The 27,537-nt window shown below is 44.1% G+C and overlaps 1 protein-coding gene and 1 pseudogene across 17 annotated transcripts in view, besides 2 other annotated features; one reads left to right on the top strand and one right to left on the bottom strand.

The window, feature by feature from the left end:
• The window catches only part of HLCS (holocarboxylase synthetase), a 241,587-nt gene that overhangs the window by 34,400 nt on the left and 179,650 nt on the right, over window positions 1–27,537 (top strand). For 12 of the 17 annotated variants that reach the window (NR_148021.1, NR_148020.2, NM_001352517.1 and 9 more), the window contains exons 3-5: window positions 16,818–16,980; window positions 18,420–19,363; window positions 25,379–25,561. Coding sequence is in view for 15 of the 17 variants with exons in the window: in XM_047440752.1 (XP_047296708.1) it covers window positions 16,818–16,980; window positions 18,420–19,363; window positions 25,379–25,561 (1,290 nt within the window). In the remaining 2 variants the exon portion in view is untranslated. Of the gene's footprint in view, window positions 1–7,524; window positions 8,480–9,657; window positions 9,804–16,817; window positions 16,981–18,419; window positions 19,364–25,378; window positions 25,562–27,537 lie in introns of those variants that run through there. The other 5 variants (NM_001242785.2, NM_000411.8, NM_001242784.3 and 2 more) reach the window with 4 other exon arrangements.
• Window positions 8,385–8,938: an enhancer, noted in NCBI's record as "OCT4-NANOG hESC enhancer chr21:38319174-38319727 (GRCh37/hg19 assembly coordinates)". NCBI's record gives its function as "activates a minimal SCP1, AML or CMV promoter by ChIP-STARR-seq in primed H9 embryonic stem cells {active_cell/tissue: H9 hESC(primed)}" and the evidence as "EXISTENCE:reporter gene assay evidence [ECO:0000049][PMID:30033119]".
• Window positions 11,558–12,652, bottom strand: DPRXP5 (divergent-paired related homeobox pseudogene 5; annotated as a pseudogene).
• Window positions 15,446–15,945: an enhancer, noted in NCBI's record as "H3K4me1 hESC enhancer chr21:38312167-38312666 (GRCh37/hg19 assembly coordinates)". NCBI's record gives its function as "activates a minimal SCP1, AML or CMV promoter by ChIP-STARR-seq in naive H9 embryonic stem cells {active_cell/tissue: H9 hESC(naive)}" and the evidence as "EXISTENCE:reporter gene assay evidence [ECO:0000049][PMID:30033119]".

The following is a 27,537-nucleotide window of genomic DNA, read 5'->3' as shown; positions in this document are numbered from 1 at the left end:
AATGGAGCTTACAGGACTGAAAGTGGCTCAGGGCGAGTCAGTGAGTGAGTGGCGTGTGAATGTGAAAGCCTAGGACACAACAGTCACTACTTTAGACTTTATAAACACTGTACACTTAGGCTACACTGAATTTATAACAGCCTTCTTCTTCGATAATAAATTAATCTTAGCTTACTATCATATTTTTACTTTATAAACTTGATTTTTTAAAATTTTTGATTCTTTCGTAATAACAGCTTAAAACAAACACATTGTACAGCTGTAAAAAATATTTTCTTTCTATCCTTATTCTAAAAGCTTTTTTCTAAGATTTTATATATTTAAAAAAAAATTTTGTTTTTAAAATTTTATTCTTATTTTCATTTATTTATCTCTACAAATTTGTGAACATACAAATTGCTATGTTTCCTAGACTGATCTCCAACTCCTGGCTTCAAGCAGTCCTCTCACCTCAGCCCTCACCAAGCACTGGAATTATAGTTGTGAGCCACCATGTCCAGCCTGTTTCTTACTTTTTAAACTTTTTTTGCTAAAAACTAACGTAGAAACACACACATTAGTCTAGGCTGCCCAGGGTCAGGATCATCAGTATCACTGACTTTCACTGCACATGTGTCCTCCTGGAAGGTCTTCACGGGCAGTAACGTGCATGGAGCAGTGAACTCCTGTGATAACAATGCCTTCCCCCACAGTAGCTCCTGAAGGACCTGCCTCAGGCTGTTACAGTTAACTGTTTTGTTGGGTTTTTTTTGAGACAGAATCTCACTCTGCTGCCCAGGCTAGAGTTCAATGGCACTATCTTGGCTCATTGCAACCTCCGGCCCCAGGTTCCAGCAATTCTCCTGCCTCAGCCTCCCAAGTAGCTGGGATTACAGGTGCCTGCCACCACACCTGGCTAATTTTTATATTTTTAGCAGAGATGAGGTTTCACATGGTGGCCAGACTGGTCTCAAACCCTTGACCTCAAGTGATCCCCCCGCCTCGGCCTCCCAAAGTGCTGGGATTACAGGCATGAGGCACCACACCCAGCTGTTTTTTTTGTTTTGTTTTGTTTTGTTTTGTTTTTTTAATAAGTAGAAGGAGTACACTCTAAAATAATAGAAAACATAGAAAACACATAAACCAGTAACAGTTGTTTATTATCAGGTACTGTGTACTGTATGTAATTGTCTGTGCTATACTTTTTTTTCTTTTTTTGAGACTGAGTCTTGCTCTGTCGCCCAGGCTGGAGTGCAGTGGCGCATCTCGGCTCGCTGCAAGCTCCACCTCCCAGGTTCACGCCATTCTCCTGCCTCAGCCTCCCAAGTAGCTGGGACTACAGGCGCCCGCCACCACGCCTGGTTAATTTTTTGTATTTTTTTAGTAGAGACAGGGTTTCACCATGTTAGCCAGGATGGTCTCGATCTCCTGACCTCGTGATCTGCCTGCCTCAGCCTCCCAAAGTGCTGAGATTATGGGTGTGAGCCACTGCACCTGGCCTATACTTTTTATTTTATTTTATTTTATTTTTGAGATGGAATCTCGCTCTGTCGCCAGGCTGGAGTGCAGTGGTGTGATAGCTCACTGCAACCTCTGCCTCCCGGGTTCAAGTGATTCTCCTGCCTCAGCCTCCCTAGTAGCTGGGAATACAGGCGCGAGCCACCATGCCCGGCTAATTTTTGTATTTTTAGTAGAGGCGGGGTTTCACCATGTTGCCTAGGATGGTCTCGATCTCTTGACCTCAGGTGATCCACCCTCCTCGGCCTCCCAAAGTGCTGGGATTACAGGCATCAGCCACTGCGTCTGGCCTTGTCTGTGCTATACTTTTATATGACTGACAGCCCAGTAGGTTTGTGTACACCGGCATCACCAGAAATACGTGAGTACTGTGCTGTACTACAATGTCATTAGACCATGGGAATTTTTTACCTCCATTGTAATCTTATGAGGGACAGCCATCATATATATGGTCCATCGTTGGGCGAGACATTATGTGGTACATGACTGTATTAAATTTACAAATATGGTAAGCTTGAAGTTTTCTTATATATTCTAATATTATATATAAATTTAGTAAGATTTCAACTTAAAGCCAAGATCAGACTTTCCAAAATATTGCAATTATATAAAATATCAAATATGTTCAGGTTCCTTTTTAGCATAAAATAATGACTGCCGTGCTTTTAATTTCCTAAATTGTTAATTATATGTCTTTATGGGGCTAAAAGATGTACAGCGTCTTAAGGAACATAGTTACTATATTATGTAGGATACAGGCTAAGTTGTATAACAGTGGGACCCAGAGCTACAGGGGCTCAAACAAGCTAGAAGTTAAATTTCTCTCTCTGGGCAGTGGTTTTGCTTTGGAAGTCCATCCAGGGACCCATTTTTTTCCTCATCTTCTTCCTTGGTTCCTTCTCCTGTCTTCCCTCCTCTATCCTAGGTAGTGGTTCTCTCTTGCTAGAGTCTGGCTCCCGTGCTACTCCACCAGTGTCAGCTTCATCTAGCCTTCAGAGTGGGGGAAGAGAGAAGGTTGGGAGACAACCAGTTTCCTCTTTAAAACTGTGATCCATCTTGGCATGGTGGCTCCCGCCTGTGGTCCCAGCTACTTGAGAGGCTGGGGTGGGAGGATCACTTTAGGCCAGAAGTTTGAGGTTGCAGTGAGCTTTGATTGCCATTGTATTAGAGTGAAACCTCATCTCTAAAAAATTAGTAAATTAAAAAAAATACTGTTGTGATTCAGAAATTTCACGTGGCGACTTCTGCTCCCATTTCATTGTACAGAACTTTGTCACATAGCCCCCTTGGTCACTTAGGTGCAGGGTAGTCTGCAAAATGCATTCCCTAGCTGGACAGTCATGGATTCAGCAGAAACTGGGAGTTCTGTTCTTGTAAGGGAGAAAGAAAGGCTAGATTTTGGGAGATAATTAGCATCTCTGTCACAGCTATCATTTCAGTTAACTGACTTTCCAAGGAAGATTTAATTAAGACCTTCTTGCTGAATGGTGGTTACTTAATTCTTTTTTTTTTTTTTTTTTTTTTTGAGACGGAGTCTCACTCTGTCACCAGGCTGGAGTGCAGTGGCACGATCTCAGCTCACTGCAACCTCCGACTTCCTGGTTCAAGCAATTCTCCTGCCTCAGCCTCCCGGGTAGTTGGAGTTGCAGGCCTGCACCACCACAACCAGCTAATTTTTTATTTTTAGTAGAGACGGAGTTTCACCATGTTGGCCAGGATGGTCTCCATCTCCTGACCTCATGATCTGCCCGCCTTGGCCTCCCAAAGTGCTGGGATTACGGGCGTGAGCCACCGCGCTCGGCCGTGGTTACTTAATTCTTAATTTTCTGGGGTAGGAGAATGCCTTCCCAACAAGGAGGATTGCCACAGTCCAGTTAACTAATTTCACTTATGATCAGAGACATCAGTGGGTCTTGCAACCAGGAGCTAGAGACGTCCAGAGCCATTCATGTTGACCACTCTGGCTGTTACCCCGAGCTCCATTTTATAAATTAGGATTCAAAACTTAAAAAGGGATTGATCTCATAGCTCACTGTCTTCTAGCCAAGTTGACAGTTCCCATTTGGGTTGACTGCTTGATGGGATTTTGCATTTTGGGGGGTTCTTATGAATCTGTGTGTGTATGTTCTACCTGACTTCACAGCCATTTGAATTTAACAGGGTCCTAAGGTATTAAATAGAAAAATATATTATGGAAGAAGGACATTTGAATTGATGGGATCTTATATTTTTTCACATCTTTAAGACTATACAACTCTTAAAGATATTTAAAATATCTTTTTGAATTTTGGATATTTCAAATGGCTTTGATCTGTGGTAATTCTACAGATTACCAACAACAGATAAATGGATCTTAAAATTCAGTTTTAAAAAATGTAGCATTCACATACTCATATTTTCGCTTATTCATTCATTAACATTTATTGAACAGCTACGTTTCACTTATTTTGCTTGATGCAGTAATACCAACAAGTGATGGCAGATTCAGCTCAGTTTTCAATATTTTCTATACTTATATTAGCAATTGCATTTAGTAAGAATTGTTGACCCAAAGAACTTAATACAATTCTTTTTTTCCACAGGAAATTTGCTTATGTTCCTTGTACTTGATCAAGGCATTCATTGAAGGTTTATTGAGTGCCTGTTATATGCCAGATTGTGTGCTAGGTAGGGTTGGAGGCATGTGTTACATGGAGATGAAAGATTCATTCAGAGATGACATTCCCTGTTTGTAAGGAGTTCACAGTGTGGGAGAGCAGAGAGCTAAGTAAATGAACAATTAAAGGTCACCATGTTAAGTACTATAGAAGGCATGGATAGGGATTATGGGGGGGACCTACTTAGATGCGTGAGGTCAGGAAGGACTTTCCAGGGTAGATGATGTCTGAGGTTTAAGGTAAAAATAGGTGAAAGGAGGAAAGGACTTCCCAGGTAGAACAGCATGTGCAGATGCACAGAAAGCATTTGCACCTGGCCCCTGCACACAGCTCAGTACATTTGGAGTCTGCATTCACCTGAGTTGGGGAATGGCCCTAGATAAGGCCAGAGGGGAAAGCAGGGGCTGGAATGTTGTGTGGGAAATTACCCTGATATGGTGGTAGCTTCCAAGAACATGGCCAAGCAGCCTATTCCAGCAGTCACAGAATAGAGAGGCTCATAGGCTGAGTTAAGACGCTCGAATCACATTGTTTATCACATCAATTCAAAACATGCAGCAAGAAATAAGGGGAGAGTTCTGGGATTGGTTAACACTTAGGATCAGGTGCCTATGGAATGGAAGCAGCACAACCTGAATCCTGGGCCATGCAATGTTCATACATGGAGTCCTGTCTCTCTGCTGCATCAGCCTTCCCTGCCAATGGTGTCAGCACAAGGACTAGAGCTGAAGTTACACAAGGGCCCAGAAGGTGGAAGGTGCTTTGTTGGAGATATTTGGATATATATGTCTGCAATAGCTGTGGCTTACCAGAGACCTGCTGGGATGCTGTGTGTGTTTTTTCATGTGTTTCTAGACAGTATATAAATGGGGTCAAAATGGGTGGCCAAATTAAGGATGATATAACTGTCAAGTGGCATAGTTTGTGTCTTACTAATATTTAAGATTTGATAAGATTGGCCCTGGTCAGCCTGGGCAGCATAGCAAGATGCTGTCTCTACAAGAAATTAAAAAAAAAAAATTTAGCCAGGCATGGTAGCGTATGCCTTTGGTCCCATCTACTTGGGAGGCTGAGGTGGGAGGATTGCTTGAGCCCAGGAGGTCGAGGCTGCAATGAGTCCTGATTGCGCTATTGAACTCTAGGCTGGGTGACAAAGCTGTGAGACCCTGTCTTCCTCTAAAAAAAAAAAAGATTGGTTCTCCCGTGACTTTCTGCCTAGGACTAACACTCTGGTTTTGTCCTTTTTATCTATGTTCAATGCACGTATGTTCCACTTATTTTGTCTGTCTTGAGCGTGTCTTACAAGCTTTTGACTCACTATGAGTTTCATCCATGCTATTGGTTTTCTTGTTTTCTATGTAGCAGAATTGAATATACTCAAATTGGACATAATATATACATCAAACAAGGCTTATATGTGTTAACCAGGAATTTGGACTTGATCCCAGGGACAGTAGGCTAAAACTATTTTTTTTTTTAAAGCAGAATGATCAGATTTGCACTTTAGGAAGGTCACAATTCAGGCAGATTGCAGAAGGGATTGGAGGGGAGCAAACCTGGAACAGATTGTGGCCACATGGGAAAAGATAATGGGCTTGATGAGTGTTGGGAGTAGGAACGCTGAGATAGAGACATGTCCATACTGGTTAGGAGGTGATGGCCTGTGGGTGGATGGTGGGTCACTTGTGCAGATGGGGAATGTAGCAGGAAGGGCTTAGAAGGCTGTTGTCAGGAATGCAGTTTTGCACATTGTGTTAATCAGATTGCTGAAGTAACAGATAAGCTTAGAATCCCAGTGGCTTCTAACAGTGAATCCTAGTTTCTTGGGTATGTTACTCATGCTCAGCAGGTTCGCTGCGCTGTTTCCAGCTGTGACTCTGCTTTGAGCTCTCTGCTCTCTACATCTCTCTTGTGCAGGGTCCTGGGCCAAAGGAGCATGCCCATTTAGGGACATGTCATTCTCATGCAGAAGGGGAAGACTAATTGCTGGCACAAACTTGTTGCAGCGCATTGAAGATGGCTGCAAATTCTTTCCTCCTATTGAGAGGTGGAGTCACTTCCCCCTCCCTTGAATCTGAACTGACCTTAGTGATTTGTGTGTCCATTGGGATATGGTAGAAGTGACATTCTGAAAATTCTCAGGCCAGATCATGAGAAACCTTGGAGCCTCCATCTGGGCTTTTGGAACATGCCATCTGGGAGTCCAGCTCCCATACTGTGAGGAAGCTCAAGCTGCCCTGTGGCGAGATCCACATGAAGTAGAAGGACATGTGGCTCTTCGTGGACAGCCCTGGCTGAGCTCCCAGCTGACAGGCAGCTCCAGCTCAGTGACAGAGGCATCTTGAAAGTAGGTCATCCAGCCCTGGTTTAGTCACTCTACCTGATGCCACATGGAGCAGAGTTAAGCTGTTCCTGCCCAGTCCTGTCCAAATTGAGATTTGTGAGCAAAATAAATGATTAGTTTTAAGCCACTGAATTTTGGGGTGGTTTGTTACACATGAGTGGGTAACTAAACCACTTGGGATACCTCTTAAAACTCCTCTTCTTCCTCAGCTTACATCAGTGGAATGGGGGGATGAGGTGGGAGGTAACTGTGGATGTGAATGCAGCACACCTTAGCAGGCCTCGGCGGTGTATCGGCTGTCTACAGAACACAATAATAACATTCTTCTGTGTGGCAACAAAGATATTTATTCTCATAATATTTGTATTATTTTCTCAGTTATTCAGCGAGACCTGCCCTTTCCCTGAGCATCTTGTCAGTCATGGTTTCGCAATTCCTCTTTTCAGCTCCATCTGGGTTAGTTGACTATTTCAGCTCCTGCTTGCAGTGACTTTGTGATAACTCTTACGCTGTTACTTGATTTTCCAATACCCTTAAAAGTGCCATAGGGTATATTGTCTTTTTTTTTTTTTTTTTTTTTTTTTTGAGACAGGGTCTCATTCTGTCATCCAGGCTGGAGTGCAGTGGCATGATCATGGCTCACTGCAGCCTTTACTTCCTGGGCTCAATCCATCCTCCCACCTAATCTTCCCAAGTAGCTGGGAATACAGGCGTGTGCCACCACACCCAGCTAGTCTTTTGTTTTTAGTAGAGATGGGGTTTCACCTTGTTGCCCAGGCTGGTCTTGAACTCCTGGGCTTAAGCGATCCTTCCTGCCTCGGCCTCCCCAAGTGCTGGGATTACAGGCATGAGCCACTGCATCTGGCCTGTCTTTTTACATAATATCAAGTGAAAGTCAATTTTGTAGCTCTCCTTTATCCTCTCTATTTCCAAACACAAAAGACAGCAAGGATAGCCAAAAGTTAAAAATAACTTTTTCCCTTTAGTCTTGTATTTTCAAATTCTTTTTTTTTTTTTTTTTTCTAGACGGAGTGTCGTTCTGTCGTCCAGGCTGGAGTGCAGTGGTGTGGTCTCGGCTCACCACAACCTCTGCCTACTGGGTTCCAGTGATTCTCCTGCCTCAGCATCCCGAGTAGCTGGGACTACAGGTGCACGCTACCATGCCCGGCTAATTTTTGTATTTTTAGTAGAGGCGGGGGTTTCACCATGCCATCCAGGCTGGTTTCGAACTCCTGACCTCGTGATCCACCTGTCTCGGCCTCCCAAAGTGCTGGGATTACAGGTGTGAGCCACCGCGCCTGGCCCTGTATTTTCAAATTCTTTACCTCTGCGTTTCCAGCCTTGCTCCATCCAATTTGTTACTAGAGCTTTTTAACAATTTCACGTTGAATTAAGATGATTTGGAAGAGGAGAAACAAGAGTCAGAAAAATTAGCAGCATCCGTGATCTGACTCTGGGTACCAGTGGGTTGTTGAGATTTCTGTTCCCCACTCACTGCAGAGCTGCTGCCTGCCAATGCCCCCTGTTGGGCAGGGCCACCTGTGCTAGTTTAACCTGGGGTCTTTCACTCCCGGACTGCTTCTTGGATGTGAGTTTTAAGTTGAGCAGAGAAGATATGCCTTGCCTGCTGCCATACATTGTAACATCAAGTCAAGAGCTTTAGTTACTTAACAGATTTCTGCTGGCTGCTATTATAGGAGGAAACTCCTTTGTTTAGGGACAGCCAGGGCTTCCTTAGCTTTGATCTTTGGGAGTGAGCCTTTTGCTTGACTTCCCTTCTCTTTTCCATGCCTTTGTTTCCATCTCGAAGTGCAAATTTAAAGTGTCCTGTTTGCCTTTATCCACTGGAAGGCAAACACCCTGGACGACGTATCAGTGACAGCGCGGTTCTGCTTTGATCGGAGCACCCAGCGCTGCTTGAAGGCGTTTGCATGGTCCATGGCTCATGGACCACGCTCCTAGAAAACGGAAATGCACTTAGGTGAGGAAACAGTTGGCAGAGTGGAGAAACTTGATCCGGGATGTGTGGATGTATTCTTTGGGCTCTTCCGGTCCTTCCTCTTCCTTTGTTTATCTCCTGCCTCATTCCTCTTCAGAGGTGTGTGGGAATTTCATCATTGGCTCCTTTTACACTGCCAGTGCCTGCTACCGCAGGGGGCTAAATCAATGTTTTTACAGCTAAATTCCGGGTTGAGTCTCCATTGGCTGAGCGGTTCTCCTCCTCCTTTGATTGCTCTGAGGACAATGGTGCCTTTAGCTTCCCGCGGGAGGTTGCCCTGTTCGTTTCCCTGTTTCCCACGCACCTTCATCCCAGAAGTCTGCCCTGCCACGGTGTTAGTTTATCTTCTCATCTTCCTGAACTGACGTCCTTTCCCCCATTCCCAAAGCTGAAATCAACGAACTCTCTGTCCTGAATCAAAGATGTCATTTCTGAAATGTAGAACTCTGCTGAAACATTGGGTGGGCCTGACCCTCTAGGTGAATTCTGCTTCCCTTGGCTGTGTGTCTGCGAGGAGGTGGGAGAAGTAGGTGGTAAAGTGGAAGGAAAGATACAAGTAGAGCTAAATGAAAATTCTGGAGTTTCTCTTTGTCCAAATATTCTACACAGGTTAGTGAGTTGGCCATAAAGGCCTGCGTTTATTCTTTTCCCCTCAAACGCAATGTTTCTCAAGTTTTTTTTTTTCATGATTGTTTTTCCGAGGAGAATAATTAAATTCACGTTCACTCTGAGAAGAGAAATGAGCTACTAAGGAATAAGATTTTGTTGTGGGGGGCCGGACATGGTGGCTCACACCTGTAATCCCAGCACTTTGGGAGGTTGAGGCAGGAGGGTCGCTTGAGCTCAGGAGTTTGAGACCAGCTTGGGCAACATAGCGAATTCTCGTCTCTACAAAAAATACAAAAATTAGCCCGTCATAGTGGTGCATGCCTGTCGTCCCAGCTACTCGGGAGGCTGAGTTGGGAGGATTGCTGGAGCCCAGGAAGTCGAGGCTGCAATGAGCCATGACTGCACCACTCCAGCCTGGGTGATAAAGTAAGACCCTGTCTCAAAAAAAATAAAAATAAAAAATAAAAAAGTTGAGGGATAGGATTGAGCCTTGGAGGGCCACAAACTGTTGTAATGTCTAAGATTTTTTTCACCTCCCCATTCCCTGCCAGGTTCGGTTTTTGCCCACTAGGGATGATGTGGTTTCTCATGAGGTTACTTGCTCTAAAGGACTTTATATTTTGGAACCATAAGAGCACCCTTGTGGCCCAGGCACTTTATGGATGATCCCTTTTAGTGCTCCCAGTAACCTTCCAAGGTAGGTGCTCTTATCTCTACCTTACAGACAGGACATTGAAGCATGGGGAATTTGAGTAGCTTGCTCAGGTCACACGCTCTTAACCAGGGGAGCCAGGATTGAAGTTTGGGAAGTTGGGCTGACTAGGCTGTGCTGGAAGAGTGTAGAGACAAACAAACTGCCTGGACTCTTTTCTTTTTGTTTTAAAAAATTGAGATATAATTCACATGAAACTCACCCTTGAAAAACAATTCAGTAGTTTTTAGTATATTCACAAAGTTGTGCAATCATTAGCATTATCTAATTCTAAAACATTTTCAGCACACCAGAAAGAAACCACACACTTGTCAGCATTCACTGTCTGCTCCCTGACACCTCAGCTCCTGGCAACCGCGAATCTACTTTCTGACTCTAGATTTGTCTATTTTAGATACTTCATGTAAATAGCCTCATAGAATATGGGACCTTTAGTTGTTGGCTTCTTTCACTTAATGTAATGTATTCGAGATTCGTCCACGTTGTAACATGCATCAGTAGTTCATTCTCATTCCTTTTTATGGTTGAATAATAGTCCTCTGTATAGCTATATACATTTTATTTATCTGTTCATCTGTTGATGGACATTTGGGTTGTTTCTACCTTTTGGCTATTGTGAATAATGCTGCTGTGAACATCTGCATACAAGCTTTATATGTGGGCATATTTTTTTTTCCTGAATGATGAAAAATGGCCATGAAAGTATTTTTTTAGTTGTATATATTTATGGGGTACAACATATGATGTGGTTTTTTCTTTGAGACAAAAAAAAACCAAAAAAAAACCTGTAGTCACCATGACGTACAGTAGATCTTCAGAACTTATTCATGGAAGGATTTTAAGCAGAGGAATAGTGCAACATTTTTATTTTTTTGAGATAGAGTCTCGCTCTGTTGCCCAGGCTGGAGTGCAGTGGTGTGATCTTGGCTCACTGCAAGTTCCGCTTCCTGGGTTCACGCCATTCTCCTGCCTCAGCCTCCTGAGTAGTTGGGACTACAGGCGCCTGTCACCATGCCTGGCTAATTTTTTGTATTTTTAGTAGAGACAGGGTTTCACCGTTAACTAGGATGGTCTCGATCTCCTGACCTCGTGATCCACCCGCCTCAGCCTCCCAAAGTGTTAGGATTACAGGCGTGAGCCACCGTGCCAGGCCAAGGAATAGTGCAACATTTTTAAAGGAATAATAACATTACCCTGGTGACTACGTGAAGAACGTCTTGGGGAGAGCCAAAATGAATGAAGGGAGCTTGACGAGGTCATTCAAGTATGATGATGGAGGGAGGTGACCCAAAAACAGGATTTAGAAACATAAGCCAACTGTCCACTTAGTGATGCTGACTAAATCTCATTAGCTGAACAAATGGAACAACAACAACAATTAAAAAACCAAAACCAAAATCAAAACAAAGAAGCAGGAAAAAAAATAAAGAAATTGTCCTTACTAGTTTTGTTGTATATTAATTTTTAATTGAGGTATAATTTATATAAAATAAAATGCACAGATTTTAGATGCACAGTTCTGTGTGTTTTGATGAATTTATACACCTAGGTAACTGCCTAGGTCATTAAGACATGAAACATTACCATCACCCCAATGCATTTGTCTTGCGCCTCTTTCTATTCAATTCTTTCTACTTGGGCCACGAATCTTTTTGACATGGTAAATTAGTTTCTCCTGTTCTAGGAATTCATAGAAATGGAATTATACAGCATGTATCCTTTGGCATCTTTTTTCTCCACTCAACATAATGTTTTTGAAATCCATCCATGTTGTGCATATCTCAAGTTTGTTTCTTCCTGCTGAAAAGTATTCTTTTGTATGAGAATCATCATAAACCATTACAATATGTGACCTTTTGTGTCTGATGTCTCTATTTTGTAGAGATGAGGAACCAAAAGAATTAAAATGGAAGCTTGGAGAATGAACTTGGGATTCTGAAGTGTCTAGAAGCCGTATATGTTCAGATCTTGGCAGCAGCCAAAATGAACTATTTTGGGGCCACTGGGGTGGTCTATAGGGTCCCTACCACTGGGGCCTAAGTTTAGTTGGAATGAGGGTGCCTGATGATCTGTGTAAACTCTAGGATGGGCCTCATTTGGGGATGTGGGTAGTGTGTCCATATTTCCCTGAGAAGGATTGGTCTTGAGTCTACCCTCAGATTTTTTTTTTTTTTTTAGACAGGGTCTCACTCTGTTGCCCAGGCTGGAGTGTAGTGGCATGATCACAGCTCACTGCAGCCTCAACTTCCCAGGCTCAAGCGATCATCCCACCTCAGCCTCCTGAGTAGCGGGGACTACAGGTGCCCATCAACACACCTGGCTCCTGGCTATTTTTTGTAGTTTTTCATAGAGACAGGGTTTTGCCATGTTGCCCAGGTTGGTCTTGAATTCCTGATCCTTCTGCCTCAGCCCCGCAAAGTGCTGGGATTTACAGGAGTGAGCCACCGCACCCAGCCTCATTCTCAGATATTTGCTGTTGTTGAGCTTCTTGTTTTTGCCAAATATGCTTGCATTTGGCTTTCTTGAGTTTTGCTCCAAGGTTTTTGAGCCAAACCTACAGTACTTTTGGATCTATTTCCATTTTGGAGACCATATCTTTCTGAAGGCTGGGGTTTGGGTATACGTTCTTATTGAACAAGTTCAGATCTTCCAGTTGTTTCTCAGTGAACGTAGTTTGTTTCTTTTGTGAAGGCCTCTGGGGCTTGCCTTTGGGAAGATCCTCTGAGCCTAATCTAGATGTGTTCGTATGTTCAGGTCCAGTTATCTTAGGTATATACTGGGGAGTAGAATTACTAGATCATATGGTAACTCTATGTTTAACTCTTTGAGGAACTCCCAAAGTCTTCCAAGGCAGCTGCAGCACCTTAATTTCTACCAGCAGTGTATTAGAGTTCCAGTTTTTCCTTGTCCTTGTTGGTATCTTTTTTGATTCCAGCCATCCTAGTGGGTATGACTTTGTGTCTCACTGTGGTTTTGAGATGCATTTCCTTCGTGACTGATGTTGAGCAGTGTTTCTTGTGCTTATTGGGCGTTTGTATATTTTCTTTTCTTTCTTTTTTTTTTTAAGATGGAGTCTCGCTCTGTCGCCCAGGCTGGCGTGCAGTGGTGCAATCTTGGCTCACTGCAAGCTCTGCCTCCGGGGTTCACGCCATTCTCCTGCCTCAGCCTCCCTAGTAGCTGGGACTACAGGTGCCTTTGCCGGGTGCCTTACATCCTTTGCCCATTTTTAAATTGGATTGTCTTTTTATTGTTGAGTTGTAGGAGTTCTTATATGATTTGCCAATACTTTCTCCTATTTTTCTGTGTTGTCTTTGCATTTTCTTGATATCTTTTGAAGCACAAGAATGTTTGATGAAGTTCAATTTATCTATTTCTTCTTTTGTTGCTTCTGTTTTTGGTGTCTTATCTAAGAAGTCATTGGTTGATCAAAAGTCATGACAATTTATGCCTGTGTTTTCCTTCTCTGAATTTTGTAGTTTTAGCTCTTATATTGAGGTCTTTGATCCAGTTTGAGTTAATTTTTGTACGTGGTTTGCATGATGTGAGGAAGAGGTTTATCCTCATTCTTTTTTTTTTTTTTTTTTTTTTTTTTTTTGAGACGGAGTCTTGCTCTGTCGCCCAGGCTGGACTGCAATGGCGCAATCTCAGCTCACCACAACCTCCACCTCTCAGGTGGGATTGCAGGCGTGAGCCTCCGAGCCTGGCCAGTTTCTCCTTTTTCTAAAAGAGGTCTTTAACGCTTCTCTATCTGTGGTTTTTTTCTTTTTCTGTATCAATTTAATGCAAATCTGAGTCTTTTAAAGTTTAATAGGTTTTTTTTGAGACTGTCGCCAGGCTGGAGTGCCCAGGCTGGAGTGCCAGGCTGGAGTGTTGGCTCACTGCAACCTCTGCCTCCTGAGTTGAAGCAATTCTCCTAGCTTCAGCCTCCTGAGTAGCTGGGATTACAGGTGCCTGCTCCCACCTAGCTAAATTTTGTATTTTTTTTTTTGAGACAGTTTCGCTCTCATTGCCCAGGCTGGAGTGCAATGGTGCGATCTCGGCTCACTGCAACCTCTGCCTCCCGGGTTCAAGTGGTTCTTCTGCCTTAGCCTCCTGAGTAGCTGGGATTACAGGCACCCGCCAGCACGCCCAGCTAATTTTTTGTATTTTTTAGTAGAGACAAGGTTTCACTATGTTGGCCAAGCTGGTCTCGAGCTCCTGACCTCAGGCAGTCCACCTGCCTTGGCCTCCCAAAGGGCTGTGGTTACAGGCGTGAGACACCGCGCCCAGCCAATTTTTGTATTTTTAGTAGAGATGGGGTTTCACCATGTTGGTCAGGCTGGTCTCAAACTCCTGGTGGTCTACCTGCCTCGGCCTCCCAAAGTGTTGGGATTACAGGCATGAGCCACCATGCCCAGCCTATGTTCATTCTTTTACACGTCAGTATGTAGTTGTACCAGTACCATTCGTTGAAAAGACTATTATTTCCTTATTGAGTTGTCTTGGCACCCTTGTCCAAATTCAGTTGTCCATGAATCTGTTTATTTCTATACTGTCAGCTCTGTTCTCTTGGTCTATATGTGTTAGTCTGTTTTCACACTGCTAGAAAGAACTGCCCAAGACTGGGTAATTTTTAAAGGAAAGAGGTTTAATTGACTCACAGTTCTTCATGGCTGGAGAAGCCTCAGGAAATTTACCATCATGGCAGAAGGCAAAGGGGGAAGCAAGGTATGTCTTACATGGTGGCAGGTGAGAGACAGAGACAGAGAGGAAACTACCAAACACTTTATTGATTGATTGATTGAGACAGAGTCTTGCTCTTTCACCCAGGCTGGAGTGCAATGGCATGATCTCGGCTTACTGCAACCTCCAACTCCTGGGTTTAAGCGATTCTCCTGCCTCAGCCTCCTGAATAGCTGGGATTATAGGCACCCACAACAACGCCTGGCTAATTTTTGTGTTTTTAGTAGAGACGGGGTTTTACCATGTTGCCCAGGCTAGTCATGAACTCCTGAGCTCAGGTGATTTGCCCACCTTGGCCTCCCAAAATGCTGGGATTACAGGTATGAACCACCGCGCCCAGCCCAAACACTTCAAAAGTATCAGATCTCATGAGAACTCACTATCACGAGAACAGCATGGGGGAAACTGCCCCCAGGATCCTGTCACCTCCCACCAGGTCCGTCCCTTGACACATGGGGATTACAGTTCGAGATGAAATTTGGGTGGGGACCCAGCCAAACCATATCTCTATATGTCTATGCTTATGCCAGTTGGACGATGACTTTTGAAACCCAAGTTGCTTGGATGAGCAAGGACCCTGGGGGCAGAAGTGGCGTGTCTTGCAGGAATACCCCTTTCCTCTGTAGGTTCAGGATTTATCCCACACTTGGCCTGGAAGTTCACTATTATCTAGTCTGTTCTTCCAGACTTTTAAGGTAATGCTTTATTCATTTATTTTATCTAGCATTTAAAAAATAGTTTTTAGGAGGAGTTAGTTCTAAAATCCTAGCCCACCAATATCTAAAATAGAATTCAAGCCCAGTGTGGTGGCCCGAGCCTGTTGTCCCAGCTACTCGGGAGGCTGAGGCGGGAGAATTACTCAAGGCCAGGAGTTCAAGACCAGCCTGGGTGATAGAGCGAGTACTCATCTCAAAAAATAAATAAATACAAATAAATAAAAATGGAATAAAAAATTATTTATCTATAATTATGAAATTCGGGGCAGTGTGTCCCTGAGAAGGTATCTTTAGGAAGTAGAGCAATCGTTCATGGCATCTTAGAAAAAGACTGTGCTGCTCACTGCTGCTTTTAAAGCCACATTTGTGACAGCTAATAAAAGCAGCTGTCGGTAATTGAGTACTTTATTCCAGTCAATCTAAGCTTTTTACTGGGGGCATTACGTATACTCTTTGATCTCATGAACACAACCAACCTTTAAATTATATTTATTTATTTATGTTTTTGAGATGGAGTCTTGCTCTGTCACCCAGGCTGGAGTGCAGTGGCACGATCTCAGCTCACTGCAACCTCTGCCTCTTGGGTTCAAGCGATTCTCCTGCCTCAGCCCCCCGAGTAGCTGGGACTACAGGTGTGCGACACCACGCCCGGCTAATTTTTGTATTTTTAGTAGAGTATTCTTGTTTTACAAATTAGGATGCTGTGAGGGTCGGAAGCTTGCCCGAGGACAGACAGTGATGATTAGTTGCCTTTGACTCGGCCTCAGACCCCTGACTGCAGCGCCGGGCTCTTCACCTCACAGGCTGTCTTCTCCATGGGAACCCTCAGAGAGAGCATGGGTGTTCCAGGCCCCAGTGTCACGGTCTTCTGTAGTAAGAACTGGAAGGCTAAGCCGGGTGTTTTGCCTGCTCTCTTTCTCCCTGTCCCCCTTGTGGTAGGAACGTGAACCTCCTTACAGGGAGGAACTGTCTGGAGAGTCTTTTTGGATTGTTCTCACAGTTCGAGTGCAGGAACCCCAGGGGAAGCATGTTTTAAATCCTGATTCCTGGACTTCAACTCCAGAAAGTCCAGTGCACCAGATAGGGAGGGAGTTGTGCTCGGGACTCTGAAGGTCTCATGTGCTCCCTGGGAGGTCAGTTGCACTTGGTCTCGGACCACACTTTGAGAAAAGCGGGTCCACAGGTTACATTGAAAGTAACTGGGTATTGTGGACTTCTTGTTCTCTCCTCTTCTCTGTTTTTAAAGGGCAGCATGGTGTTTTTCCAGTGTCTGGGGAATGTCCCTTTATCTTTTAATTCCTTAAAAAGGTGGAGACTTCAGTTACTTTTAAATGAGAGAGTTATATTTAGTGTTTCGTAAGCACTGTTGTCAGGTAGAGATGAGAATGCTGAATTCAAAACAACTCTGATATTAGTAAAATGTAATATCCAGTAATTTGTTATTAATGACTGTAATTTAGTGGTAGGAGCCTCAAGGGAAAAATAAAGTATGTGGTTATTTTAGAGAAGAAAAATCTCAACCTGTCTTTTCCCACCTCCTCCCTCTCCTGCTTTTTCTCAGATTGTCAAGTGGTCAGACTGTTGTTTGCCATTAGCTTGCAGACCTGGGGATCCTTATCGGCTAATTGCTGAAGCAAGTGTGGACAACTTCAGCAAGCTGGGGGTGGCGTTCATGGAAGATAGACTCCACATGGATAATGGACTGGTACCCCAAAAGATTGTGTGTAAGTAACTTTAGAAAATGTTTTTATTGGCCAGGCATAGTGGCTCATGCCTGTAATCCCAGCACTTTGGAAGGCCGAGGCAGGAGGATCGCTTGGAGCCCAGGAGTTCGAGACCAGCCTGAGCAGCATAGACCCCTATCTCCAAAAAAACAAACAAACAAAAAAATTAGCTGGGTGTGGTGGTGCATGCCTGTGGTCCCGGCTACTTGGGAGGCTGAGATGGGAGGATCACTTGAGCTGGGAGGTTGAGGCCACAGTGAGCCATGATCACGCCACTGCATTCCCATGTGGGTGACAAAGTGAGACCCTGTTTTTATCATAGTGGGACACTATAAGTTATTAGCTTAAGGACTGTTGAGCACTCTTACTGGTATGACATAAAGGCTATGCTTGGTTTCAGTTTAATTCAGTCCACAGGTTTGATTTTACTGTAATAATATACAATTCATGCATGTGTCAAGATTTTTTTGGGGGGCTGCAGGGTACATTTTCAGTGCTTATTAAATTTCTTAAACAAGAAGTTTTCATGACTGCATTGCTCATGAGGTGGCATTCAAATTCAGAACCCATATAATATTTATTTCACATAGTTTAATACAGTATAACTAGTGTCTAGACTACAGTTCTGATTGAGTGGGAAGCATAGCTAGTGTTACTATGAAGTTCTAAATCAAACCGCTTTTTACTTAAAATATATGTATCACAATTTCTTGGGACAAATCGTTTTTCAGGAAACACACAAACTGTTCTTCCTTAATTAGACTTAAAAGCAGGCTTTTTATGTCTATGAATGTCTTCTTTCATCTGATGGGCAAATAAATGTCCCTTATCAGCTTTGGAAGTTTATGTAAATCCCTTAATATCCAGAATCACCTCGTACATGTCTCTAATACCATGTCCGACATGTAGCAAGTGCTCAATAAATGTTTTTGAATTAGTGATTGTCAACTTATGTTCCAGTCCTGAGACAAGATACTGGGAAGAATCTTCTCCCATTGATCCTATGGCATGTCTTGAGAGTGACATTTCACTGGGGCGTGCTGGGGTAGACTCTAGATATGTGTCCTTTTTATTGCTCAGTTTCATTATTGTGAAGGAGAATAACACCCAAGAAATAGAATCTGTAAGTAAGGAGGCAAAGGCACCTCTCTGAATCTCACTTTCTTCACCATTCCGTAAGAGGGTCTTAGGTTCTCCAATAGGTATAAAAGATGTTGGGCAAACTGCTGATTTCACTTGGGGTCTTCAGGTGGGAACAATTAGTGTTTCCAAAGGATGCCCCCGAGTTGAGGGGGGATGCAGGTGGGAGCCGTGCCAGAGGCTGTCCTGGAATGTAAGTCCCAGAATGCAGAGAGGGTGATGAGATTCTTGAGATGAGCTATGTGTCATACAAGAAGTGTTGATTAATTTTCTGTCTCTCTCTCCTATTCATGCCTTAGCGGTGCACTTGCAGGACTCCACTCTGAAGGAAGTTAAGGATCAGGTCTCAAACAAGCAAGCCCAGATCCTAGAGCCGAAGCCTGAACCTTCTCTTGAGATTAAGCCTGAGCAGGACGGTATGGAGCATGTTGGCAGAGATGACCCAAAGGCTCTTGGTGAAGAACCCAAACAAAGGAGAGGCAGTGCCTCTGGGAGTGAGCCTGCTGGGGACAGTGACAGGGGAGGGGGCCCCGTTGAGCATTATCACCTCCATCTGTCTAGTTGCCACGAGTGTCTGGAACTTGAGAACAGCACCATTGAGTCAGTCAAGTTTGCGTCTGCCGAGAACATTCCAGACCTTCCCTACGATTATAGCAGCAGTTTGGAGAGTGTTGCTGATGAGACCTCCCCCGAAAGAGAAGGGAGGAGAGTCAACCTCACGGGAAAGGCACCCAACATCCTCCTCTATGTGGGCTCCGACTCCCAGGAAGCCCTCGGCCGGTTCCACGAGGTCCGGTCTGTGCTGGCCGACTGTGTGGACATTGACAGTTATATTCTCTACCACCTGCTGGAGGACAGTGCTCTCAGAGACCCGTGGACGGACAACTGTCTGCTGTTGGTCATTGCTACCAGGGAGTCCATTCCCGAAGACCTGTACCAGAAGTTCATGGCCTATCTTTCTCAGGGAGGGAAGGTGTTGGGCCTGTCTTCATCCTTCACCTTTGGTGGCTTTCAGGTGACAAGCAAGGGTGCACTGCACAAGACAGTCCAGAACTTGGTTTTCTCCAAGGCTGACCAGAGCGAGGTGAAGCTCAGCGTCTTGAGCAGTGGCTGCAGGTACCAGGAAGGCCCCGTCCGGCTCAGCCCCGGCAGGCTCCAGGGCCACCTGGAGAATGAGGACAAGGACAGGATGATTGTGCATGTGCCTTTTGGAACTCGCGGGGGAGAAGCTGTTCTTTGCCAGGTACTCAGGGCAGCATGGATTTGGTGATCTTTGGGTATCTGTGGGTATTTTTGCGAGGGAATATGTCTTTTAAAGGTACACGCTTAAAAGTTTCAGGAGTTCGTGTGCTGCGGGCTGTTTTTGACTATTGGCTGGGAGCTTTTGCTGATAGTGAGCAGAAAGTTTAGTTTAGTTCAGGGCTTTCTTGAATACCCTGGTTAACCAAAAGACTTGTGAGGGAGGAACAAGGCAGCTGTCAGGGTTAAATGAGCTTGCTGGTTAACTGAGGCTTAGTCAGAAAATTCTCGTTTTGTTCTTTACTAGTAATGATCTTTCTCAAATTCATCGGTCTGCTTTCTTGCCTTAGAGCACCCCTTGGTTAATATAATTGAGTCTTTATTTAAGGTAGGAAGTTGAAACCATCAGGGTAGTGATTCTAGACGTCAGTGACCACTGCGATGAAATACTGCAGTTGATTGCCAAGGTAGTTGGTGTTGAAAACATCTTCAGGTTCCCAATTCCTTTCTTATGTTTTGTCACTCTTCCAAGTGCTGAAAAGAAAAACTTCAAATAAGAGAATATTGAAGCTACTTAGATTTGTGGCATACTAATACATAGGTAGGGGGAAAATGGAAAGAGGATGAAAGGAAAATGCTAGTTTCTTTTTCTTGCGTAGGAGATCCTTTGGCTCATCTTCTTTTTCCTTTTAGCTTTTTGTTTGTTTAAGCAAACGGTAGCGGATAAACTATTTCAGAATTCCTTGTCATTGACTCCAAATCTTTTAATCCTTAGGGGAAAAGGTTTTCATTAGAGTTAGATGAACATTCACTTGCCCTAAAGGATTTGATGCTCTAATGAGAAAACTACGCAGATGTAGATATTTTGTCCAGAAGAGTTCCCAAGATAAGTGTAATCGATTTTGTTTTATTATAGGGATCTTTTTATTGAGATAGAGAATTGTTTCCTTTTTTGTTTTGTTTTCATTTTGTAATGCCTTGTCTTTTTCCAGTTCTCCTGGAAGCTAAGTTTCTTGAATTTTCTGGCCAAACATTTTTTTCCAGAGTATATATTTGTTTCTTTACTATTCTAAAGCCGACTCACTTGTTCTTAAGATAATACTCAAGCAGAGATGCTTAAAATTAAGGAATTTGGACATTAGGACAGATGAACACGTACAGCCCAAGCAGGTTTCCTGCAGTGCTGCAGGCCACATGAATTAGCTTTTGGAGGCGTAATAAATGTTCCTCTTATCTTTTTCTCTGCAAATATTGTAACTATAGTAACTGCATATTCTCAGAAAATCCACTTAAAAACCCGACTTCCTAGAGCCATATTTCAGTTTTGAAGAGTGAATTTTACCACCCCTGAGCACAGACTTGTACTAGAAAATTGATTTGGCACTGTTGTGATCCATTTCTCCGAGTTACATAGCAAATCTGCTTGCTGCACCATTTAAATTGACCCCATTACTATCATAAAATTTGATACTGCAGTGCATTGCCCTAGAAAAAAAAGGCAATATGATGCAGCTTCACAAATCAGATTCAGAGGATTAGAATGTCATTTTTGATTTTAAATGACTTCCAGTCTTCTGTGTGACAGGGTCACTGTTTTCTCCACAGGCCTGTGTCTCTGTGATACCTTACTGAGATCAAAAAATAAATATTATCACAGGCTGGTTAGTTTCCTCTTTCCCTGTTCAATTTCATAGTCTTCACCTTTGTAATAAATCTAGTAATGATGTAACCCAATAAGAGGAGGTAAAGTATTTCAAGGGCAGAACACAGCTGCACCCTAGGCACTGGTGTCCCAGCCGAGTAAGCTGCAGATTTGATGCCTTTGCCATTCATAATAATAAAGAAAGAGAGGAAATGTTTGTATGCTCGCTGTACTGATCAAGTTTGCAGGGAAAACTTAAGGCTGTGGATTAATGCTGACATTTGACTGTCAAATGGACCAGGAATTTGCCATGAAGTTGTCCACAGAAAATCTTTAAAAGGGATTTTAAAAGATTTTGTTTTCTTGTTTAGCTTAGCACATGGCAGCAGTGGGTCGCCTTTGATGACAGAGTTTCTCAACCATGGCACTATTGACATTTTGGGTCAGAGAATTCTTCGTGGCAACAACAGTCTTGTGCATTTTCGGCTGCGGAATAGCATCCCTGGTCTCTCCCCACTGGATGCCAGTATCACCCTCTCCACGCATTTGTGGCTGGAGACATTTTTTTAGTTCCGGTTTTCGGTCCAACTAAAAAGTCTTATTTTTACAAGAAGCCAAGTTACAGAAATAGACCTGTCATTATGGTAACAGGGTTACACTCAGAGAATGAGATTCTAGTCCAGTACCTCTGTGGACGAGGAGTACAAATCTACCACCCACACACTCCGGTGTGCCATTTCTCCCTGCTAATTGGGAGCGTAGAACCAGAGGTGGCCTCTTTTCTTGTTTCCATTGTAGAAGCACCTACATCTTGAAACCCTAAGACAGTGAAGCCAAGCAGTTCTCGGGGTTTCAGCGGCCATCTTCCCCCTTGTCTCCAGGAACTCCGCCCGCTTGTAGCGCCATCCTGTTTTCCGTCCTGGCATCGTTCTCATGTGAAAACGAGTTCATACAATTCACTGCGTGTGCATCTTGGCTACTCTGTGTATTCACCCTGACCAGTGAGTCCACATGCATTCAGTCGAGCACCCCTCTCATCCCTTCGGCTCTAGTGGGAACAGAACTTGACTTATTTCATTTCTGCCACCTGTAAGGGTTAATCTCCGGGATAGCCGTGTGCTCAAGTGAATTAAACGGGTCTCGCCGCTATGCTGTTTGTCTATACTGGCATGGCTTTGTCCACCGGAGAGGAGAGGTACACATTTAGGGTAGAAGTGCACTGAGTAGGATACAGATTGTTTTTTTTTTTTTTTTTTTTTGAGACGGAGTTTCATTCTTACTGCCTAGGATGGAGTGCAGTGGTACGATCTCGGCTCACTGCAACCTCTGCTTCCCGGGTTCAAGTGATTCTCCTGCCTCAGCCTCCCAAGTAACTGGGATTACAAGCATGCGCTATCAGGCCCGGCTAATTTTTTTTGTATTTTTAGTAGAGACGGTTTCACCATGTTGGTCAGGCTGGTTTCGAACTCCTGACATCAGGTGAGGATATGGATTCTTTAGAGGGTTTTGCTTTTCTGCCTCTTCCCCTCTCCAGGGCTGTCTACAAACAGGCCCACCTGACCTGTTGTCCCATGATTGGCATCCTCAGTCTTGGAGGAAGCAGCCAGCCTGCAGCCAATCAGCTGTGGTTTGGGGACCATGTTGGACGGTGCCCTGCAGACCTTTTCTGATTGGCCTCAACCTTTATTTTTTTGAGCCGGAGTCTCACTCTGTCACCCAGGCTGGAGTGCACTGGCACCATCTCAGCTCACTGCAACCTCTGCCTCCCAGGTTCAAGTGATTCTTGTGCCTCAGCCTCTCAAGTAACTGGGATTACAGGCGTGCGCCACCATGCCTGGCTGATTTTTGTATTTTTAGTGGCAGTGGGGTTTCACCATGTTGTCCAGGCTGGTCTCAAACTCCTGGCCTCAAATGATCCTCCCGCCTCGGCCTGCCAAAGTGCTGGGATTATAGGCGTGAGCCACCACACCCAGCTAAGCCTCAACTTCTAACATTTGGTTAGTATATTTGGCTTGGTTAAGGTAGGAATTGAGAGATTCTAAGTCGCCTGAAAGCTGGCATTATGCTTTTTATTTTCATAATACTTCTATAATATCAGGCTAGAAGCTTTGCATACAGTAGGCAAAGCTGAAACAAAATAAGGCAGACGAGCTCAGTTTGCTTTTCTGGGTACTCAGTGTTCTGGCAACCTCCAGGCTTCAATGCTCATTTAAAATCTGATCTCAGGGGAGCTAGAGGTTCCAGTAAGTTCCTTCATACCCAGACAAAGGCTGCTGATAGGTGGAGATATTTTAATTTTAACTAGACAACAAAGCCTGAAGTAACTAGGTGAAGTTCCAAATCTTAAAATTCAATCAGGGGAAGGAGGGTGGGAGGAAAGGCCTTTCTGGTGTCCAAGAAATCGTATGCCTTCCTCAGTAAGTCCTCACTTAAAGTTGTTGATAGATTCTTGGAAACTGCACCCTTAAGTGAAATGACAAACAATGAAACCAATGTTACCATAGGCTAATTGATATAAACAAGAAGTCAGTTCCCATAGTGTATTTCTGGTCACAAAGACATCACCAGACTTCTAAATAAAGGCCAAAACACTGAAACACTGAAATAAATATGAATTATATGTACATTTAAGAAAGATTAATAAAAACAAAGATAATTATTTACCTGATTATTTCAGTTCAGCATGGTGGGTGGCCGCGTGGCTGGAACTCATCCAGGAAGCTCAGGGTACTACTGGTGGGGGAGTCAGCCCTGGCCAGGATGCCCTCCCATCACAGGGCACACTCACACCCGTACTCACACTTGCTCAGATCAGGACCATGTAGACGCATCGGTTCACCTAATGTGCACAGCTTGGGGATGTGGGGGGAAAACGGAGAAACAGAGAAAACCCGTGCAGACATGGGGAGAGCGTACGGACCCACAGACAGTGGCCCCGGCTGGGAAGTGATTTCTTTTTCCCCTCATCAACATCATAACAAAATGACTTTGAGTGAAACAACATTATTCAAGGACCTGCTGTTTTGAATTCCTGCAAACTCTCTCTCTCTTTTTTTTTTCTTTTTAAATGGTCGCACTTTGTTGCCCAGGCTGGAGTGCAGTGGCACGATCATGGCTGACTGCAGCCTCAACCTCCTGGGTTCAAGGGATCCTCCCAGCTCAGCCTCCCAAGTAGTTGGGACTACAGCCGCACCACCCACGCCTGGCTAATTTTTGTATTTTTTGTAGAGACAGGGTTTCACTATGTTGTCCAGGCTGGTCTGAAACTCCTAGGCTCAAGCAATCCTCCCATCTTGGTCTTCCAAAGTGTTGGGATTACAGGTGTGAGCCTTTATACCCAGCCTCCTGCAAACGCTCTTAAAATGATGAATAACGCTGCTCTCTTCCTAGGTATTGTTTTCCAGTTATGGCTAATAGGCAAAATGGAAGTTTCCAGCATGACCCATTTGCCTCCCTGAACTCACTAGCAATTAGGTTTTCAGCATAACTGTCTTTCTAGGTCTTTTTTTTTTTTTTTTTTTTTTTTTGCGATGGAGTTTCACTCTTGTTGCCCAGGTTGGAGTGCAATGGAGCTATCTCAGCTCACCGCAACTTCCGCCTCCTGGGTTCAAGCGATTCTCCTGCCTCAACTTCCCGAGTAGCTGGGATTACAGGCTCATGCAACCACGCCTGGCTAATTTTGTATTTTTAGTAGAGACAGGGTTTCTCCATGTTGGTCAGGCTGGTCTTGAACTCCCGACCTCAGGTGATCTGCCCGCCTTGGCTTCCCAAAGTGCTGGGATTACAGGCGTGAGCCACCGCTCCCGGCCCTAGATATTTTGTTCCTATAATCAAGTTAAGTAACTTGCGGAAGGTCATATGACTGATGAGTGTGGAACATCAGTACCTGGAGAGAGATGATGACTGTCCAGGGTCATTTCCACCGTGGCCTCTCAGCCTGACAACCAAAATTTGAGTAGGCTCTTTGGAATCGTTCTTTTGTTGGCCATGACTTTCCAGATATACAGCTTCAGAGTTTATATGCTATTGATAATTAGAAAAATTCATGTTCAAGTTTTCTCTTGTGGGTTATACTGTGTCCCTTAATTTTCAGAGGAGAGCAAAGCTATGAGCTATCTGGGTGTGATGTGCTCACTTGGAGAAGAAAACTGGTAAAGAAATTTTTTGGCCAGATGTGGTGGCTCATACATGTAATCCCAGCACTTTGGGAGGCTGAGGTGGGAGGATCGTTTGAGCCCAGGAGTTCAAGACCAGCCTGGGCAACATAATGAGATCCTGTCTCTAAATTTAAAAAAAAAAAGAAAAAGAAAAAAGAAACTGTTTTTCTCATTGCCTGTGAGTGCCCTCAGTTTACATAGTGCTATCTTTCCCCTTCAGGTGCACTTAGAACTACCTCCCAGCTCCAACATAGTGCAAACTCCAGAAGATTTTAACTTGCTCAAGTCAAGCAATTTTAGAAGATACGAAGTCCTTAGAGAGATTCTGACAACCCTTGGCCTCAGCTGTGACATGAAACAAGTTCCTGCCTTAACTCCTCTTTACTTGCTGTCAGCTGCGGAGGTGAGTTGTGGGCTCAGCTGGGCAGAGCGCGCTGTGACGTGGCCCTCTTCACAGTGGCGACCCGTTGCTTTAATTGTTTTATTTTGGTTGGTTTTGATTTTCCATTTCTGTTTTGACTTCGGGTTTGGAAATCATCTTCAAGATGTGCAAATATTCATTTTGTTGGGGGAGGATTATATATAAGAGAGGGCCAACTAGTAGAGTTTAGAAAGGTGTTAAGTCTGCAGGTGTGGCCCTTTCCACGTTAGGGGGAAGAGGGTCCCTGTGTCAAGAGTATATTCAGACTGTAACTTTATTCATTTGGGATTGAAAACATTTGTTTTGACTTGAGCCACTTTCAGCAAATCTTTGGAACAATCACATTTGTGCTAATGTCTGCCATCTTGTGGCAACAGCGCTCTGGGTTTCACGTCTGTGAGTCGTGTCTGACAGGAAAATGCCCACGGAGCTGGGAATGTGTTCGGGAATTCTCTTGGCCCATGCCTGCACTTGCTGCCTGTGATTGATACCTGGTTTTGGGCAGGTCGCCAGATTCTCCAGGTGTAGGTTCTTGCTAATCCCCCTGCTTGGCCATACTATCAGTTTCATAGTCATTGTGACAAATTATTTTGTCTATTTCTGTTGTCTTCTCTGAACAGACAAATTTGTGAGTTGAATGACATAACCATGTAGTTTCTGCAAACACCCAATAGTCTAGGTGACTTTAAACACTAAACTTACCTACTTTCTCTTGAAACAAACAAATTATACCTCTCATCCCAACATTTTTTAAAAAGGAGGCACTTTCTTTTGTGTTACACTGTGTCCCTTAGTTTTTGGAGGAGAGCAGAGCTATGAGCTATCTGGGTGTGATGGGCTCACTTGGAGAAGACAGATAGAAAATCTGAGAGCACTGCCAGTCCCCTAGACCTTCTCTGTCGCCTTTTCCTGGGGATGGAGGGCTGGGGCTGGCTACCTTAGCCAGTGCCTGCTCTGAGGCTCCCAGCTGGGGAAGTCCGGGAGTGAGGTGGCCTGGCCTTGCCCTTGGCAGAGCTCCCTGCCCTTTCTCGGAGTTCTGATCATGCTGGTCTTCGGACTTGACCTCCGGACTCTTGGACAGAGTAGTGGATAGGAAGAGTGGCCCTGCCCCAGGTTATTCTCTTGTGAGTGGAAGTTTGGAACTCTTGGCATTTCTGGTGTATTTAGGATGAGTATAACCTGAAATACCCATGTCAGGGCTTTGTATCATGTGTCTGCTTATATTCAAGCACACAACAGATGCTTCACATTTTTGTCCTTCCAGTTTTTTAAACAGCCTGGGGCAGTGGGAGGTGATACTTTTTCACCTGTTCATTGATCAATTGAGGGAGTATTGATTTCCCCTTTCACAAACTTTGGGAATGAAATGCTTGAACATGATTAAAGCAAATATTTGCTCTGTATACACATACATGGACACTCCCTACTAAGCCCCTTATTACATAATAACTTTGGAAAATAATTATTTTCAGAAATGTTCACTTCCCATTGCGGGCCCTCCACTTGGCCTTGTTGATTTTCTTGGATATCTGTGCTGTGGACTACTTTCCTCTCAGCTGCTTATTTCTGACTGAATTCTGCTTTACTTTGGGAGCCCAAGGAATGGAATGAGTACGTGTATGTTGTACATATCCTCATTTCTTAATGTTTATTTTTAGTTTTTGAGGCAGGGTCTTGCTCTGTTGCCCAGGCTGGAGTGTAGTGGTGCAATCATGGCTCACTGCAGCCTCCACCTCCCAAGCTCAAGCGATCCTCCCACCTCAGCCCCCCGAGTAGCTGGGACTACAGGTGTGCATCACCATGCCTGGCTAATTTTTAATACTTTTTGTAGAGACAGGGTTTCGCCATGTTGCCCAGGCTGGTCTTGAACTCCCGAGTTCAAGCAATCTGCCTGCCTTGGCTTTCCAAAGTGTTGGGATTACAGGCATGGCGCTCCCGGCCTCTTAATGTTTATTAAC

Source organism: Homo sapiens, chromosome 21 (assembly GCF_000001405.40).
Source record: "Homo sapiens chromosome 21, GRCh38.p14 Primary Assembly".
In the NCBI taxonomy this organism is placed as follows: Eukaryota; Metazoa; Chordata; class Mammalia; order Primates; family Hominidae; genus Homo; species Homo sapiens.
The sequence above is the reverse complement of the archived record's forward strand: the minus strand, read 5'-3'. Positions and strand labels throughout refer to the sequence as shown.